This window comes from Homo sapiens, chromosome 1 (genome assembly GCF_000001405.40).
Source record: "Homo sapiens chromosome 1, GRCh38.p14 Primary Assembly".
NCBI classification, from domain to species: domain Eukaryota; kingdom Metazoa; phylum Chordata; class Mammalia; order Primates; family Hominidae; genus Homo; species Homo sapiens.
In genome coordinates this window covers 208,226,177-208,244,435 of record NC_000001.11, presented here as the reverse complement: position 1 = coordinate 208,244,435, position 18,259 = coordinate 208,226,177, and the positions used below count along the sequence as shown (strand labels likewise).

Genomic DNA, 18,259 nt, shown 5'->3' with positions numbered 1-18,259 from the left:
GCCCGGGCGGACGCGGCCGGCGGGGAGGGGGTTAACGCGCGCGGCCTCTATGATAATGAGCTGCATGGTGAAATAGGGAGGCCGGCGCTCAGGGCTCCTCCGCCGCCGCCGCCGCCGCCGCCGCCGCCGCCACCGCGGGAGCCAGAGCTGCCGGGAGGAGCGGCATCCGCGCCAGACTGGAGCGGGAGGGCGGCGGAGGGCAGTTGCTGGGAATTTTTCAGCCGAGAGGGCGAGCGATCCGGAGAGAGACCCCGAGAGCTTGGGAGCGGTAGGGCGTGCGAGCGCCGCAGCCAGCGGAGCAAACCTCGAAATAGATCTGGAAAGCCAGGCTCCCGGAGGAAATGGGACTGTGAACGAACCGGAGAGCAAGAAGGGAAGGAAGCGCCGGGATTGCTGATGTCAGAGGAGCCCGGAAAGTCGCGCTGGAAAAATCTGAAGACAGCCGGGGCTCTGCTTCTTCCTCAGGAGAGACACCGCCGGCCGCCCCCACACGCCCCCTCGGCGCCTCCGGGTGCCCCCTGAGAGCCGGCGACAGCGCCCAGCCGGGCTGCTGCGGGGCGACGGAGGACTGAGGGGCGCGCGGAGCGGAGACCGAGGAGCGACTTCAGGAATACAGATAAGTGTCTGGTGGCTTGACGTGGATTTTAATGAATTTGGACTCCATGTGGATTTGGTCGTCTCCCTGATTCCGAGCTGCGGGCAGGGAGAGGGGCCTCGCGCCGCCCTCAGCAGCCGGCGGCGGCCGAGGTAGACCGAGCGGGGACGGAAGGACAGACCGACGTCGCCGAGCTGGGTAAGCGGCGGCTGGGCCGGGCGCTCGGAGTCGGCAGCGCCCTCCGCCCTCTCCCCACAGGCGCGCACACCCGTGGCGGCTTCTCCCGCGCCCGCCTCTTTGGGGTCCCGGCCCCAGAAGACCCGGCTTGGCCGCGGCGGGCGAGTCCCCGCGTGGGCTCGGCCACTTTCGCGGGCTGGAGCGCGGCGTGCGCGCGATCGCAGGCTCACTGGAGCCGCTGCCTCCCGCCGAGGGCTTCCCGGCCGGCAGCCCGCCGGCTTCCCGAATGCGGGCTGAGGGCGGCAGCAGCGCTCCGCGGCGCGCCTCCACCGCGCACCTGCCGGCGCTCTGCGGCTTTGGGGAGCTCGGGGCGGCAAGGCTGTCCTGAGAGCTGGAGCCCAAAGAGGGCCTCGGTGGCACCAGCGAGACAGCCCAAAGCCACACTGGCCAGCGATCGATTTGGGGGCGTTCACTCCAGTGCCGGGGTCCCTGGTGGCCGCCGGCTCTCCCTTCCGATCGGGGACTGGAGATCAGGGGAATGGGAAAACATCATTTGCGCGGGTTCCATAAGGCTCAGGGAGAGATTCCTAGGCACTGAATGGGTCTAAGTGTTTCATCTCCCGGGGCTCCCTTTGCGGTGTATCGCCCAGCAGGGGTCCAGCCCCTTAGTTTGAGCACCACAGGAGTGCTGGGGGTTGAAATGGGAGTTTGCTTAGGGTCCCAGAGGCTCCTTATGAACCATTTGAGAATGTTTCCTTCCATGTGCTCTTTCTTGCCCCACCCCACAAGTGAGGTAGGGATCCTAGAAAATTCTAGCCCTTTTTATCCATCCCACAGGTAGTCTCTATAATGCCAATCATGGTCTAGATGCCCAGAGAGTCACCAGAAACTACCATTTTAGATCCCCGAAAAAAGTCCACCTGTTTGGAATGACCCTTGCCCTAGTGGGAGCTACCTACTCAAACTCAGCTCTGCTCAGGAGGGATAGAAATAATGGTGGGGAGGAAGTTGGATAAAAGATTTGGGGCTCTAGGTCAGTAAGGGTCTAGAAATGAGAGCCCCATGAAGTGGGCAATGGAAATCTGAACAGGTCCCCTGTAGGAATCTTAGAGTGACAGTGGCACACCAGTAGAAAGTGCACAAGGGACATGAAGGCAGCATCAGTTTGAGGGGACTGGGACTGCCAGTCATAGCTTGAGGCAGTCACTTGGGGGCCCATCAGTTTGGAAGAACCCACAGAAATTTGGGGGCACATTCATTTCCTTCCATTCACGCGCACAGTGGACAAGGCTTATGAGCGGCAGGCCAAGATGAGTATCTTGGCTGGCCTGGGCTGGAGGCTTTGAGAGCAGGAGTCAGGTTTAGCTCTCCCCTCTCCCCACACAATAGCAGTCTCCCTCCTTTGCTGGGCTTCTTTCCCAGATCTTGAAACTTCACTCTTCCCTCTGGGTTGGCTTTGGATTCTGGGGCCTTCTACTGATTGACAGAGCCCCAGGAAGAGATAACCTTGGCTGGAGGAATTCAGCTATTCCTAACTGAAATGCACAACTTTTATGCAATAACCCCAGAAAGCTCCCAGAGTTGCTTGCAGCCCTCTCCCCTCTGACCTCCAGGCAAGAAAAGAGAAGAATTCATTAACTTCCCTCTCTCTTCACGGAGCACCATTTGAACTAATTACCTGGGATCTCTCCTTGGTGGTGGCCTGGAGGCTGAAGGGGCAGTGAAGAGAAAGGGTAGGGAACCAAGGAAACAGTGGAATCTGTCATAGCGAGGTTGTTTTTCATTCCCCTTCTTCCACCTGGCATCACCACCAACCCCTCCTCATTCCAGAACTTGCCCCTGCTGCCACCAACCAGCATTACCTAAAGGAGCTATTTCCCTCCACTCCGCAGCCGATCGTCTTCAGGGACCTGCTGATAAAGGGAGGGCAATGCAGATTACCCTCTCTGCTCCCTCACTGTCCTCAGCAAATTGCATTAGGATGGGGGCAAACTGGCTTGCAAAGCAGTTAAATGGAAATGACATTTGGAGCGATGTGCAGGGAAGATGCTGAGGAGCAGCAGTGGTAAAGTACCAGGAGATCTCTATCCAGGGACCATGAGTCTGCCAAGGAAATCCCAGCTGGTCCTTCTTTTTGGCAGGGCATAAGGACAGGGGTCCCTCAAAGCCTGGAGCAGGACAGGGGGGCTGGCTAGCTTTTCAGCCCAAGTCTAAATGAAGAGTATGGCAGTGTCTTATGTCCATCGCCCAAAACCATGTCATTACAAGGTTGGTGGCCCCCCTTTCAGAGCTAGTCTGAATACCTATCCCTGTCTTCAGAGCACCAGGGAACATTCACCCTGCAACTCTCTTGACCATCAAAAGCTGCAGATGCGGTGAATGTAAAAGTTCCTTCACCATCTGTTTTACTGAAGTCTGCACTTAAAATGAGGTTAAAAAGAAAGCCCTCAAAGAACAGCTACCTGTTTCCTAGGTCCCTTTCCCATTTACCAATACTTCTGCTTACTCAGCTAATCTTTATTTCATGGGCAGGTTACAAGAAAACATAGGAACAGGAGGGGAAACCAGTGACATGGTTAAATATACAAGGCAGCAGCTGACAGCAGCCTAAACTCACCACTTTAGGTGCTATGAAATATTTATGGTGCTGGAGTTGTCACTGTTTGGGGGTTTTATAGTTTCTATCCTACCTCATTTTCTATGATTGCCTCCCTAAGATATAGGGTTTGGTGTGGGGGAGGCAATTCCTGTCTCCAGCAGCACCTCCCCACCACCACCAGCTGTCTCCCTGCATTGCCACACAGCTGTCTCCACACACACGAACTGAGGCACAATATACTTCTGTCCATCATGGCAAATGGAGAGGCAAGGAGCGCCTAGCCAAGCCCCCACCCCCCACCCCCATTCTGATCATAAAGAGACTGGAGCATTGTGTTACAGTCTGTTAACTAGAAATAATTCAGGACTGACTGTCCATAGGGAAACTGGTAGAAACAGGCTTTGAGGTGCTGGGAGTTTTACAGCTCGTGTGCGTTCCCCCCTCAGCCCCAATCACCACCGCCCCACCCAGGGGCAGTCTGTTATCAATTCATTATATGTGAATATTCTATTTCTACCCTTCACATATGCTCAGTTCAAACAATGATGAATGGAACCAGTTCCCTGAACAGTTTTTTCACTTCGTTACAAAGATTTCATGCCTGATTAGAGTAAATGAGGGGTGGGTGTGCATCCACTTCTTTTTCGGTCATTTCTAAAGGTGAGCCCTATGGAGACAGAGAGAAAGGCAGTTCTTCCCAGGGTCAAACAGCTGGTCTCAAGGCACGAGGGAGGGATGGCTGGTAAGAAGAGGATATCCCCGTCCTCCTGGGCTTAGCCCTCAGGCTCTCCTGGGCCTCATTCCCTGGCATTTGGGCATATGGAACCTCTTTATCTAGCTCCACACTGCTCCATCTGGAATTGGAGGGCATAAATAGAGGCGAGAAAGTTCTTTGTTGGGGAGCAGGGTCCTTGCGGGGTAAGAGTGTAAGGGGAGAGGAGGAAGGAAGGGCACAGAGCTGAAAGAAATGGCTGAGGCCTGAGCAGTGCAAAAGTTCTCTGCTTCTACAGTTGGTTAACCATTAACCGCCTTCCCTGCTCTGGTTCTGTCTCTCTCTTGGGTGAAAGAATATCTCTGGGAAACTCAGAGGACCAGCAGGTGTTCCCCCATACCCCCCTTCACCCCAGCTTAACATTTGCTGTGTCTCCACTGTCCTGCCACAGCCCCAGGCTCAGCCACTGACCCCCACTCACCTCTTCCTCACCTTCTTCCCCTACCCCAGCATACTCTTCCCACGCACTGCCAGTTGTCCCTTTACCCAGGCATTGCCAGTTGTTTGCAGGGCAGGGCGTGTGTCAGAGACTGGGAAGCAGGCACAGAGGTGGGGAGAATCTATTGAAGGGAGCAGCCGGCTTCACACAGGATTCGGAGCAGGAGCTCTGAGCTCAGGTTATAGACAGCTCTATAACCACTAGGATTTTCCTAGTGCTTCTCACTGTGGATCTGGCTTGTGGGTGGCTGTTTTGGCCGTTTGAAGTGAGTCCATGTGGTCCAAGGCCTGACCAAGGCATTCCTAACAAGTCAGACCTGGAATCCTGAACATCAAAGAAAACCAGCAGGTGGATGGAAGATGTAGATCAAGATGCAGGAGCAAAGGCACACATGGAAAGACAGAAGTCAAGATGTGGGCACAGGCACAGATAAATGGAGAGAGGGAGGAAGACAGCAAGGGAAGATAAAGACAGAGAGATTAACAGTGTGAATGGGGGTGGACAGAGCTCAGAGTGAACACAAAGAGAAAAGTGGGAAAGAGAGCCTTGCAGGCAGAAGGGGGTTTTCTGAATCTTCACTGGCCAGGGAGGCTCTGGGCTGAACTGAGAAGCCGAAGTAGCAGGTTATCTCCACTAGAGGGGACTCTTGAAAGCCAGGCTTGGCCCAAAACAGTGGCTTTTGTGCTTTTTTTTTTTTTTAGAAGAAAAAAAATATTAATAGATGAGATATATTCGAAACTCCCAGCCGTCACTTCCCAGAGACTACAACTGGTAGGGTCCTATTGCCAGTGGGACCTTTGGGCCTCTGTCTGTTTGCAGAGGATGAGAAGGCGCCTGCAGCATTAAGCTGGGATGCATGGGTTGTGAGCAACTCCGGAGAGGCCTGCCCCAACAGGTCACGTCTAGGGCTGGGTGGCAGGGAGGGAGTGCATTCTCAACTTAACAGGGAGTCCAATCTGCTGGCTGGCCCGCCAAAAGGCCCTTGCCGTTCTTATCAGCAACAGAAGTTTCTGACCCAACCCCGAGGGGCCTTCACATGCTTCCCATCTCCCAACTCCCTAAATACAGATTTTTGAGACTCTCAGGTAGTAGCAAAACTGCTCCTGAGGAGACTTTTTTTTAAAAGAGCTTTCAGGAACTGAATGCATGTCAACATTGTATCGCTGATTTAATCTTTTTCTTCATATTCTCTGTGGGAATCTTTCTCTGAATTATAATTCCCCCTTTCATTTCAGCAGAGGACAATATTGAGAGACAGCAGAGTCCAGAGGCTTTTCTTATCTAAGGAGATAATAACTGCCTAACAGGGGCATGGAAAAATATTGAAGTATTGGGATGGGCAGGAGACCAGAGAGCTTAGCCCCGTCTCTTCCAATCTGATAGCATCCCTTGATAGTTCATCTTGGTTTGCTTTAGCTCAGATGTACCTGGACGTCAGGGCAGGGGGAAGGGAGGATAGAGAAAAGAAAGAAGAAAAACAAGATAAATGTATCGTGTTATGAAAGTTTAATTCTGCTTTTCTTTGGCTAAAATTACTTTGAGGGTGAAAGATAAAAGGTAGTAGAGTTGCCCTTGGAAAGTTCAACTTGTCTTTCAGAGGGAAGAGGAGGAGGGATCCCAGGGCTCCGAGTGAAGAGCTGGTGAATGAGCCTGTCTCCTCTGATCCCCGCAAAACACACATATTCTCTCCGACGCTTTGAGAGGACGGAAGCTTCTGACAGAGGAACCCTAGCACCTCCCAGCCCTCTTGGAGGAGTTGTTCTCCCAGGCTTTCTCTTGTTCTGTCTAAACAGCCTCCCTCTCAACCATAGTATAGAGGGATAGAAGAAGGAGAGATTCTTACCCTTTGCACTGAACCAAATAGGATGACACTGAAAGCGGGAATTGGAATTCATTTAAGTTTAAATAAATAGGGATCGATCACCTGTGTGGTGCCAAGAATGTGGTAGCTCCCTCCTAATACAAGGATGAAAAAGTAATAGATCTTACCTTCAGGGCATTTACAGTACACTCAGGGAGTGGAGGAAGAAATTGCATAGCCAAGTACCCCCAAATACCTTTAGTAAAAGGCAGAATGGCATTAACAGTGTGTACTAGGGGGTCAGAGGAAGTGAGAGCAGACAGCTCCTCAAAGCCTTTGCTTTAAGTCATGGGAGGTGAAGATTTCCAGGAGAGACTCAGAGGTGCTGGAGAACTTCACAGTTTCCTGTGAAGAAGGATGACTATTTAATGCTCTCGCAGTCTCCAGCCTCTCACAGCTACCCGTACCTACCCAGTTTTCCCCTCGTTCTTCTCTGAGGATTTTAAACTGGACAGCGCTGGAGTTGTTTTCTATTAGTCAATATCCTACGGCAAGGACTCCAGGGTGCACACTCCCAAGGATTTTCGTGTTGTATTCTATGTAAATTGCATCCCTTTCTGGTACTTCTGGAGCTGGCGTGTAGAGGCCAGTGTGGTGCCTCAGGAAATATTATTACTCATCCACATTCACATTTAAGTGTCCAGAATCCTGCTATTATGCATCTACTCTTATCTGAATGAAGTTATTAAATGGAAGGACCTGAGAGGGAAGATTTGGATTTTATCCCTACACCTTGGCTGTCCACTCCTCGGGCTGCCTCTGCCATGTGCTTGCTACCTGGAGAAGGAGCCAATCTCTTTAAAGCTTTCTGTCCATAAAGAGGGTAGAGGGATACTAATAGAGAAAGGTTAGGAGGATGAAGATTTCAACTCAAAGAGAAGGTAGCCATTCTGCTTTAAGCTTTCTGTCCATAAAGAGGGTAAGGGATGCTAATGGAGAAAGGTTAGAAGGACGAAGATTTCAACTCAAAGGCTGTCTCTAATCCTATAAAGGAAGGTCATGCTCTCCCTGCACCTCGTCTGAGGCTGGGGGAGCCACATCAGTGATGCTGTCAGGGAACTGACCCCTGCACTGGGAAGCACAGAGCTAGGGCCATACTTGGGCTTCAAGAGGCCTGTGAAACCTTGGAGATTCTATATCTTCAAGAATGATGTGGGTATGTGTAGTCTTGTATTTCCGAAGAGAAGGAGTTCTTGCCCCCTCCACAATGTAAAGAACCACTAGATTCCAGTCTCTAGAGCCTTTCCTAGCCGTCATTTCCGCTTCTGCTCTGGTGGTGGAACAGGGCTTTGGATGAGGAGCTGTAACCCCAGTGCTTCTGAGAGTGGTAGACAACTCACTGAGTGAACGAGAACACGCCAGGGACAGCTCAGAATGTCAGCGGAGCCTATGGATTGTGATTGCTCTGTGACTATGGGCAGGTCTTTTTACCTTTGAGCAGGGGTTAGAGGGAGCAGCCGGCCAGGCAGTGTGCTCCACCCTTTAAGGGAGAGAGGGTGGAAGGTTCAGGAGCAGAGGAAGGGGTGTGTAGAAAAGCCCTGCCTTGCCTTATAGAGGCAGCAGGACCAGCGGGCAGACAGAAGTGGCAAGAGGGGATGTTGCTGCTTTGAAGTGGTTTCCTGCTTCATAAAAGTGAAAGGCCTCGGCTAGGCTGGGTAAATATTACGTTGGCCTCTGACCTCCCACCTCCCCTGACTGCTCCCCGGTTTCCCATTTTTTTCTCCTGAGGAACAAAAATACCTGAAGGAGAAGAGCCAATTTTTTGAATTTCACTGAGAACAGCGTTCTTAGCGGGAGCCCAGCCCAAGCCAGACAGGAAGACCCAGGCTCCTTCCCCGTCCACAGGCAGGAGGCCCCTCGTGAGTCAGCAAAGCTCTCGTTCCAGGTCTCCACTCCACGTTTTAGGGCAGTGGTGTTTTCCAGGAGCAGGGCCGGCTGGGATTTCACAGTGCCCTGACAACACTGATGCCCCACCCTGACTCCAGCTGCTTAAAACTTTCTAACAAGTCCCTTCACTCTCTGTGACATTAAAACCCAGGCTACGAGGTTTTCTGTAAGGCAAACACCCCACCCCCTGAGGTTTATCTGTAAATGAACAAAATTTGAGTCTACCGCCCCACTCTGAGTGACCCACAGGGGGTCAAGTTCTTCAAGTTCTTCAGCTTTCTTGGCCCACAGACTTAGAGAGAAAGATCTGAACTGCATGGGGAGCTGGAAGCCCCTCCCAGCACAATCCTGCAGGAGGTTTAGGCCCCACTGAGATGGTTGAGAGCAGATGGTCAGGAAGAGCCTGGTGTCAAAGAATCAAACAGGAACTAAGTGCCTGCCTTCACACTTGTAGCCCTTCCCACTTCCTAAAGATTTCTCACCTGTTGACCGGTGCTCACCCTCCGTTTGTTCCCTGGTCCCAGGAGGGAGATAAGAGGTTAGTTACGCTCTGGCAGAATTGGCTCCTGCCCCTTACCCAGCACCTCGGTTTCTCCATCTGTATAATGGAATGAATACTCAAGCACCTTCACTTGTCTTTGTTTCTGGAGCCAGGCCCGGGAAGAGGGTGTTAGGAAAGTTGGAAAAACGACAAGTGCTGGAAACAAGGAAAACTATTCTAAATTTTGGGACAGGTATAAGAAGCGAAACTAGGGTTATTTTCCCCCTCTCTCTCCAAATTTGTTTGGAATTTTCTGAGAAAAGTAAGATTTTATTTAAAGAAAATCTCTATGCTAAAGAATAAAGGGCTGAAGACTTGGTGGAGATGGGACATAGAGAAGAAAGCCAATAGTGGCCCTGCAAGGAGACCACATTCAGGGCTTGTGGTCAGCATTTAGCCAGTGGGATTGGAATTTGAATTCTGCCTTTGCCGCCCTTGGGTTTTTGGTGCCTTCAGAGCTCTGAGAGTGTACATGAATGACACTGTCGTAGGATTGGTAGGTTGGCATTGCTGTGGGAGTCAACCCTTCATGGAATAAGAAAACGCAGAGCTCATGGGTATCTGGCTGCCTGGCTGCAACAGGGCTTGCATCTCTCCTGCACAGAGTAGCTTTTACCCAGGCCCACATAGTGGATGTGAAACCCAAGTCCAAATTGGGTAAGTGCATTGCCGTGAGTCACACAGCAAGCTGCCATTCACTGCCCTCCAATTGCTAGGAGGTTTGTTTGCCCCAGCGTCACCCGCCACACTCTCTTGATCTGCCCACTTAGCTACCTTTTCTTTCCAGTCTCTTGTCCCCTGCACTGTGCCCAGTGACCTCCCCCATCTCTCTCTTCCTTGGTTTTGAGCAGACAGGCATCTCACGAGAGCTCCTGGGGGCAGGGACATGGATGGAGCAGACACATCACAGAGTGTGTTAGCAGGAGTGGAGTCCAGGAGCCCAAGCTGGACGCTGGGGCTCAGGGATCAGATCCTTGGTAGCACTGATCATCGGTCAAAACCTAGCAGGATGTCTGGGGAGAAGCATTAGCTGTCTTCTAGTAGGCCAAGAAGCTCCCCAAGCAACACAAGGAGCTTTGTCCCTGTTGGAAATGCAGAGTGCGGGATGGGGCCTGTGAGAGGAGAGTCCTAAACATCCCATAGCACTGTCCAAGAGCCTGCTGCAGAAAATGGGGTCAGCAAGAGCCCTTGATTTTCCTTTCTAAATATTATTTTTTAAGAAAGAGTTTGAACTGCAGAATAAATAGGTGTTTGGTGTAGAATACTTGGGAAATGTTTTTGAGTGTTTAATAGTACCTTTTACCCGGGCCCACACAGTGGATGTGAAACCCAAGTCCAAACTGGGTAAGTGTATTGCCCTGAGTCACACAGCAAGCTGCCATTCACTGCCCTCCAATTGCTAGGATATTTGTTTGCCCCAGCCTCACTCACCACACTCTCTTGATCTGCCCACTTAGCTACCTTTTCTTTTCGGTCTCTTGTCCCCTGCACTGTGCCCAGTGACCTCCCCCATCTCTCTCTTCCTTGGTTTAGAGCAGACAGGCATCTCACGATGAAGCAGTATTCCCTGTGAGAACTGACCTCTCCTCTTCTCTTCCCATCTGCCGGCCCTTAGCACACACCACAGCCCTTCCATGGTGCTGCGCAGTGTGGTGTCAAAAGACCCCCCCTTTTAAATAGCTCCAACCAGCTTTCCTCCATCCACAGCAAGCCTTGATATTTGCACAGTCAATGGCTCTGGCAAGGCCAAGCTGCCCCTCCCTCCCCGAGAGGCACTGTGGGCACTGTTTGTGTTTCAGTCTCTATAGACTCAGCATTCACAGCTTGAAGAGGCTGAGACAATGACCCAAGCAGCTGCCTGCAAACTGTGCTGGCTGGGAGGCGCAGAGAGCTCCAGTCTCACAAGGCTGCGAGGGAATGAGAGGCAGGGAGGGTCGCCCCAGCTTGGATTTGCACACCATGCACCTGGGAGCATTCTCAGGCAGCTGTGGCTGACCTGGAGGAAATGAAGAGGGCTGGGATCCAGAGAACCTGGTCTAGGCCACCCGATTGACTTCCACTGCGGGCCCCCAGCTTCCTTGGCCAAATTTTCCACCAACTGTGCAGTCCCTGGGGGCCAGGAAGAAAAAGCAGGGCCCTGGGGAAGCAGCCATGTCTGGCCTGGGGATGGGAAGAGGCAACATTTGTCTGCATAGAGAAAAATAGAAAGCTTCACCTGGGAGAAGAAAAAAAGATACGTTCCTTGCAAGAAATTTTAAAGTTGGTGCAGCATAATTTCATTTGACTGAACGAGTGTTTATAGAATATCCATATACCGAGTATGATAGAGGGGAGACAAGTCATTGTCCAGGCTCTTGAGGAGGTTTCAACCTGGCAAGAGAGGGTATGCACGCAAATCATCGTCCTACAAGTCACAAATAAGTATTGCAAAAAGACAGAAGGAGAGAGATTAGCCAGAGCTATCCCAGCCTGGAAAAGGCTACTTAGGGAGGGAATGGGCTCTACAACATTTAGGGAATTCAAGCAGAGGCTAGAAGATGGCCAGGTCTCAAGAAGAGATTCCTGCATAGAGCAGAAAGGTATCGTAGCTGATAGCTGAGGTCTCCACCCACCCTAAATCTTCTAAGCTTGAGTTCCCTCTTTGCTGCTAAGTAAATCCAAATTCAGTGGAGGAAAAGGCTGTGTTATGAAGTGGAGTGTCAGGTCCATACAATTGAATTCCAAAGTAAGTAAAGTTGGTTCTCACACCTTCAGGCCCATGGCAGTCTCCACCGAGCAGGGTGCGAGGAAGGCTAGGCTGGGATTAGCCCTGGTCTCCTCTGGAGCCAGAATTCTCCTAATCATGTTAAAATTAACACTCCCTCTACAAGCAGGAGCAGACCCCTCTGAACTGAGATTTGGTCAATTCTCTGCTTGCACAGCTCTAACTTCTTCTAATCATTGTCATAAACGGGACGGAAGCAGCTGCTCACTCCAGTCTATTATCAGCTTGGTTGGAGACAGAGAAATTTAAATGACAGTAAGATGCTTAGCAAAGAAACGAAAGTCAGTGTTAAAAATAAAGAAAACAAGACAGCTTGTTTCATCGAAATAGAAGGGTTATTAAACAGGCCTGAATTAATCAGTGATCTGCCACTGTCGGGAATTGAAGAGCAGCAGGGCCAGGGCTGAGAGCTGGGAGGAGATGGGTAAGGAGAGGAGTCAAGGCAGATAGGAGCCTTCTGCACTCTTGGGCTGGCTGCAGGGACTGCAGAGGTGCTTGGTCTTCAGAGGGGTTGCTGGCAGCTGCATTCTTTCCCACAATAAAGGGCCGGCTGGGGAGAGGGAGACTGGCACAGTGGTCTCTCCTTACAGATTTGTGCTTTTGGATCCTTTCCATCTGCCACCACCTGTGCAAGCCCCTGGGGCCATGTCCAGGCCTCAGCCCCTCCCCAGCCCTCCTTCCCACCCGCCAGAACTGGGCAAGAGCCAAATGGCATTCAGTGGATGGCCAGCAGCTCCCAGCCCCAGGCCTTTTCCTCTAAACATTCACAGGGCCCAAGAATTCAACTCTGAGTCACAGCTCCTTAGACCCCATATCCATTTGCAAAGAGTAGTAACAGGATATCCCCAACTATGGTCAGAGTATTGCTTATGTGCAGGCAGAGAGTATCCTCTTGAGTAAGTGATCTCTTCCAAGATATATCAGTTGGTGGCATCTGCAACGTCAGGCAGCAGAGAAGCCAAGTGACATGTTTAACTCCAGGACCCCCCAAGTCCAAGTCCCACTTTCACATCTGGTGCCTTTGCCAAAATATTCAACCTCAAATATACCTAAGTCCTCTCACCTGTAAACTGGTGATGCGTATGCTGCTCTCAACCTCACCAGCTTGAGTAAGGGGTACGTTAGCGGGATGATGCATGTGAAATTTTTAGGAAACTATAAAATCATTGCACAAATACTTGTTCGTATTACAGTGGGGTCCCTTGCACACTCAGAACCAAACATCAGAAGAAAGGTTTTTCCGAAGGGCATGGAATGCATCTGGGAGGAGAGCAGACAGACGTGCTCACACCTTCGCAGGCGTGTGGAGGGGAGGGCGGGTGACCAGGCACATCTGTGTGCACATGTGCCTTCATCCGGTGCGGAACATGTTGGATCTTGAGTCAATCACTCCAGGAGCATTTTCTTTGCTCCTTGACCTCCACATTCTTTCTCCTCACCCCTCCCTCCCGCTTCCCTCCTGGGTCCCTCCTGGCTGTTTACCCTTTTCCCGGCTTCTCTCTCACACCCCATTCATCATCCAGGGCCAGATTCTCACTCAGGGAGCACTTTTCATCTCCTGCCCTAGGTCCTCCCTCCCCGGCCTGCCATTCCCACCCTGCTCCCCATCAGCACATTCTTCCCCCTGTCTCAACCTCTCAGAAAACTGCGCCCGTCACTCTCCCTCACAGTGGGCTGAGGGATCCAAGAGGTCCGGGGCTGGGCTGATAGCGCCTCAAGGGTCTCAAATGTCTACTAACTGTGCTCCTTCACCAAGGGACTGATGCCACTCCAGGTGCTTAAGGGTCCTTCAGGCCGAGTGTCTCTACATCTTGGCACAGAAAAGACCTTTAAGTGGTCAGACCTCTGCCCAGAGTTCCAGCCACCCCTCAGTTTCTGCATGCCCCTTTAATCCAGCTCCATGGCACTCCCCTTGCTTGGTGTGTGTAATTGTGAGCGTGCCTGTTACTTAGGAGAGGCTGTCTGACAGCTAAGGATCTCTACTGCAAGAGCTGGGAGTCTCAGACAAAGAGAGAAAAATAATAGAAACTGCAGGTAGGAAGATACAGGGTGGGGACATAGCCTGCTTAAGAAGCTTCCTCCTGAAAAGGAGTTAAAGCTTTTTTATTGGAAGGCTGGCTGTTGGTTCAGAAAAGCACTAGAGAGAAAGAAAGGCAGGGAAAGACAAGGAAGGGAGAGGAACTTCAGCCTGTGTACTGAGGCAGACCTGTATGGGAAGGGCCCAGAGAATGCGAGGCCCCAGCCTAAGGAGCTGGTATCTCAGCATCTTCTCCTCCTCCTCAGGACCGGTTTTCCTCTTTCCTCCTCCACACCCTTCTGTGCTGCCACAGGTGCCTGGACAACCCAGCAAGAGCAACACAAGTGGTCCTAAATCACCCAAGGGCCATGAGAGGAGGGTGGCCTGAAATCATGGGACCACTGATAGAAATGGTGGGAATGACAACTCAAGACCTCAGGTCAGCACGGGGAGAAGGTGGGACTAGCAGCACCCTGTTTGTTTCTTCCGAGAGGACTGGGTCTGGGGAGGCAGGTGCTGGGTCACCAGGTTCTGCTGCACAATGATCACCAATCTCTCGAGCTAAAACAGAACCCTCGGAGTTTGTCACCATCATACAAGGCAGCCAAGGAGATGATGTCCTTGTACAGTGTTTCTCCAAAAGCAGAAACAAGAATAACTGGTGTTTACTTAGAGCTCTAGAGTTTACAAAACAATTTCACATCCATTATCTCATTGATTCTCACCACAACCCTGTGAGGTGTCATTTTACAGCTGAGGAAAGCGAGGCTCCAAAAGGTTAAATAACATGTTCAAGGTCACCAGACTCGTAAGTGATAGAATGAGACTTGAGCCCAGGTCCGTCTCCAAAGGCCAAGGTCTTTTCTCTGCGCCATCCAGCGCTGCGAGTTTGACCTCCTTGTTGAAGACCCTGTTCTGGAACCTTCCAAGGGGACTTCCCTCACCCCACTCTGTTCATCACTTTATATTGTGAATTTGTCATTTTTTATTATTATGTGCTTTTTATGTGATCCATGATATTATATGGTTAACGGCTCTGGAGCTGTCTTGCAAAGACTTTTCCTGCACAAGTCTAGATTATACATTCTTCAAAGACAGAGCTGGTATCTTCCCATTCTTCTCCATCTTTCTTCCCACCTCACCCATCTAGCCTCACCCAGTGGGTTCAAGGCAAATAATAGCCAGGATCCTTCCTAAATCATTTACCTCCTTCTTCACTACCTCCTGAAGATCAGTCATGACAGATCCCTGAGCCAAGTGTATTAGTTCAAATCATTTCTTGAGGCCAACTAGTAGGGACAGTGTCCACTGAGAAAAAGCAAATGAGCACACCTGGGCACCCCCTCGCGCTGCTCTTGACAATTCAGGCTGAACACAATACTGAGTGAAAGTTATCATGCTAGCCCTGCACGGATACCAAGAAGCACGAGATATTGTTCCTGCCTTCAAAGAGCCTCTAATTCAGTGGGGAGATAGGAAATAGTCACATAAAAAAGACAGCTCAATGCTGCAATGTAGTGTGTGCTAGAATCAGTGTGTGATTCTAGCCTCTCCACCTCCAATCTCCTTTCTCTCCTCCAAAGTCAATTAAAAACTAGCAGTTTTTAGAGAGAAAGAGAGGCAGGGAAAGACAAGGAAGGAAGAGGAAATTTAGCCTGTGTACTGAGGCAGACCTGTATGGGAAGGGCCCAGAGAATGCGGGGCTGAGCCTAAGGAGCTGGTATCTCAGCATCTTCTCCTCCTCCTCAGGACCGGTTTTCCCCTTTCCTCCTCTACGCCCTTCTGTGCTGCCACAGGTGCCTGGACAAACCAGCAAGAGCAACACAAGTGGTCCTAAATCACCCGAGGGCCATGAGAGGAAACCATTAAAACCAGCAGTTTTTAATTGACTTTGGAGGAGAGAAAGGAGATTGGAGATGGAGAGGCCCTAGAGGGTTTATGAGGCTTTGAAGGATGGGCTGGGTATGGATAGGCAAAGAAGGGAGTGGAAACAAGCATTCCAGGGCAGGGCGTTTTGGGGACTCAACAGACCAACCAGTTTGTTGGGAGAGGAGTCACTCTGGGAGAGGTGGGCAGTGAGGTTAGAGAAAGACAGAAGAGCCAGCTGGGAAAGGACTTGAACTTGGGTGCTTAGCAGTGCTGAGTCTATCTGGGCAACAGCCCAGATAGAAACACAGAAGGTGTTTCCATAGGTGAATTTCACACTTCAGCCATGTGCCTGGCAAAGTCAGACAATGGGTCTGAGACACAAGGAATGAGGCAGCACAAGGCACAACTTGCAGATCTGTGGCTGGATCTTGGCTGCCAATGGGTTTCACCAGGGTCCATCTCAGAGGAAGGCCTGGATGGTGACAATGTCACTGTCTTACAAGCATTATTTTCAGGGAGGCAGCACGAGGATTCCTGGTGAAGAGCCCCGCCCTTTGAACTTTTGGGAACCCTAGCTTCTGGAAATGAGCAGTGCTAAAAAGTGCACATCATCTGGCACTAATGGCCACTCTCCCTGAGATAGAGATGAAGCATCAGGGATTGGGAGTGATCCTTGTCCCTAGAGCACTTCAGTGGCCAGCCATGTGAGGTCACTGGAGGTAACAAGGAAGGTCTGCAAAAGAAAGCAGGAAGTTCTCTCACCTGGGTCTCCTGGGAGCCATTAACATTTTTCTTCAAGAAGAAAAAGATGTGGACAGCTTCAAAGGAGAGTAAGTGGGATTTTAGGGTCAGTTCATGGACCGAGAGTTGAGATGAATGCCTACTGCTTTGTTTTGGCTTTTTCTTACTCCCTCATTGTTCCTCCTTTTTTCTCCCAGTAGTATAAATTAGAGCAGTGTCATTATTTTTGAAAACATTATGTTTAATGGCAGCACAATATGCCATTATATGGAGTAACTGTAATTTATTTAACCTTTTAGTTGAGTACTTTTTAAGCTTGCTCTCCTGCCCCATCTCAACCTCGAAGAGTCCCTGGCTCTCCCTTGTACAGTGAAGACTGGATGAGAGACATTTCCAGGCTCTTTGAAAATATCATTTGGAATTGCTCTGAAAGGCGGCTGCCAAGCTAGCAAAGCTCCTGCCACAAAACACCCCTGGATTCCACCTGGTGCTTGATAACCAGGACTCCTGTGTGCCCTACCCCAGCACTGCCTGGTTACCAAAATAAAGGATCAGCTCAGGGTAGACATAAATGGAACTGTGGAGCCTCAAGTTTTGACCTTTAACATAAAGTACTTGCCAAGTCTTACTAAACATTCTGGTGAGTTCTCCCAGACCAGTGATAAGAAGGTTTGGCTGAAAAATAAGTCTTAAAAATCTAGGCAGTGTAGAATAGTAGGGAAAGCATGGGCCTCGAGAATCTTGGCTTCTTAGCTGATGCTCGTCACGTTAGGCTTCCTGAGATTCCATTTCTTCATCTGTGAAATGGGGATAGTCATGCTCACCTTGCAAGCTAATCACACAACTATGGATAGCATATACAGGGCATGTAGCATAGCGTGTCATGTAGCAGGTGGTTAATAAATAATAATAATAGTAGCTACTCTTCATAGTTTTTTTTCCAGAAAATAAGTGAGAGTTGCTAGTAATTTGCTACTCATGGTCATTAGAGTATGAGGTCTCCTAACATGAATCTTGACTTGGCTTGGCAAAGCCATATGCCTACTTTTATTTCCTTTTCCTGCCTTTGGAAGGAGCCTGAGAATTCCTTTTTTTGTCCTTTAATCCCATAATGTCTACCAGAACAGCAACTCAATTGATAAGATGGTTTAAATAGGGTCCTGTTAGAATCAGGGAAGAGGTGGGATGACCTTTCTCGGACTCCGTTTGCACAGAAGGCTGGAGTGCTCCCACAGCCTGCTTCTCATAGCATCAGAGCCCTGCTAATTTGGAGAAATTCTTTCTGACCCAGCGGGGAGGTGGCCATGGCAAAGCAGGGCTCCTTCCTGACCCTCCCCCAAAGGGGGTTGAAGAGGGCAGAGCCTAAGGAAGGGGGAGCAGGGGATGGGGTGGCAGGGAAGGCAGCTGCTTGAAATTGATTGTTCTTGTATTTTAGTTTATACCATGCGGCTCTCTCAGCTCTGCCCGGGTGGCGACCTTTAGATAATAAAGGGAATTCTGGGAGATTTCTGACAGGCCCATGACATATGGGGCAGGTCTGCAGGGTCAGGCGGTGTATCTCCCTGCTCCCGGCCCCAGGGTAATGAATCTTGTTTTGACTTTGCAAAGCCAGCTCAGCCAGTGCCCCAGAAAGAAACAGAGCCCCCGCCAGCCCCTCAGATGAGTGCACATCTTGGAACCCTTCATAATTCAGGGATACAACTCCAAACTTTTATAGCCTGTGAGTGGAGAGGACAAACACTACATGTTTTGCTAAGGCCCTGGGAGAGCTGGTGTGGTTTCCAGGGCTCGATCAGAGCCTACTGGGAGACCTGGGAAAAAAAAAACAACAGAAATCTCTCCCTGACGTTAAAAGCAGTCCCAGGACAGGGCTTGTGCCTGGAGGAGGAGCCGGGGTGGGAGTGAGAGAGATCTCTCCTTGGGGTCTGGCAAGTGGCAGATTCACTCTTCTGGGCAGGAGAAGCAAAAAAAGGGTAGGGTCCACTCTGCAGGAACAG

At 50.7% G+C, this 18,259-nt stretch overlaps 1 protein-coding gene across 3 annotated transcripts in view, besides 2 other annotated features; it reads left to right on the top strand.

The window, feature by feature from the left end:
• The window catches only part of PLXNA2 (plexin A2), a 222,143-nt gene continuing 203,935 nt past the window's right edge, over positions 52–18,259 (top strand). For all 3 annotated transcript variants that reach the window (NM_025179.4, XM_005273164.4, XM_005273165.5), the window contains exon 1: positions 52–793. The gene's annotated coding sequence lies outside the window, so the exon portion shown is untranslated. The remainder of the gene's footprint in view (positions 794–18,259) is intronic.
• Positions 513–1,012: an enhancer, noted in NCBI's record as "H3K27ac hESC enhancer chr1:208416769-208417268 (GRCh37/hg19 assembly coordinates)". NCBI's record gives its function as "activates a minimal SCP1, AML or CMV promoter by ChIP-STARR-seq in naive H9 embryonic stem cells {active_cell/tissue: H9 hESC(naive)}" and the evidence as "EXISTENCE:reporter gene assay evidence [ECO:0000049][PMID:30033119]".
• Positions 1,013–1,514: an enhancer, noted in NCBI's record as "H3K27ac hESC enhancer chr1:208416267-208416768 (GRCh37/hg19 assembly coordinates)". NCBI's record gives its function as "activates a minimal SCP1, AML or CMV promoter by ChIP-STARR-seq in naive H9 embryonic stem cells {active_cell/tissue: H9 hESC(naive)}" and the evidence as "EXISTENCE:reporter gene assay evidence [ECO:0000049][PMID:30033119]".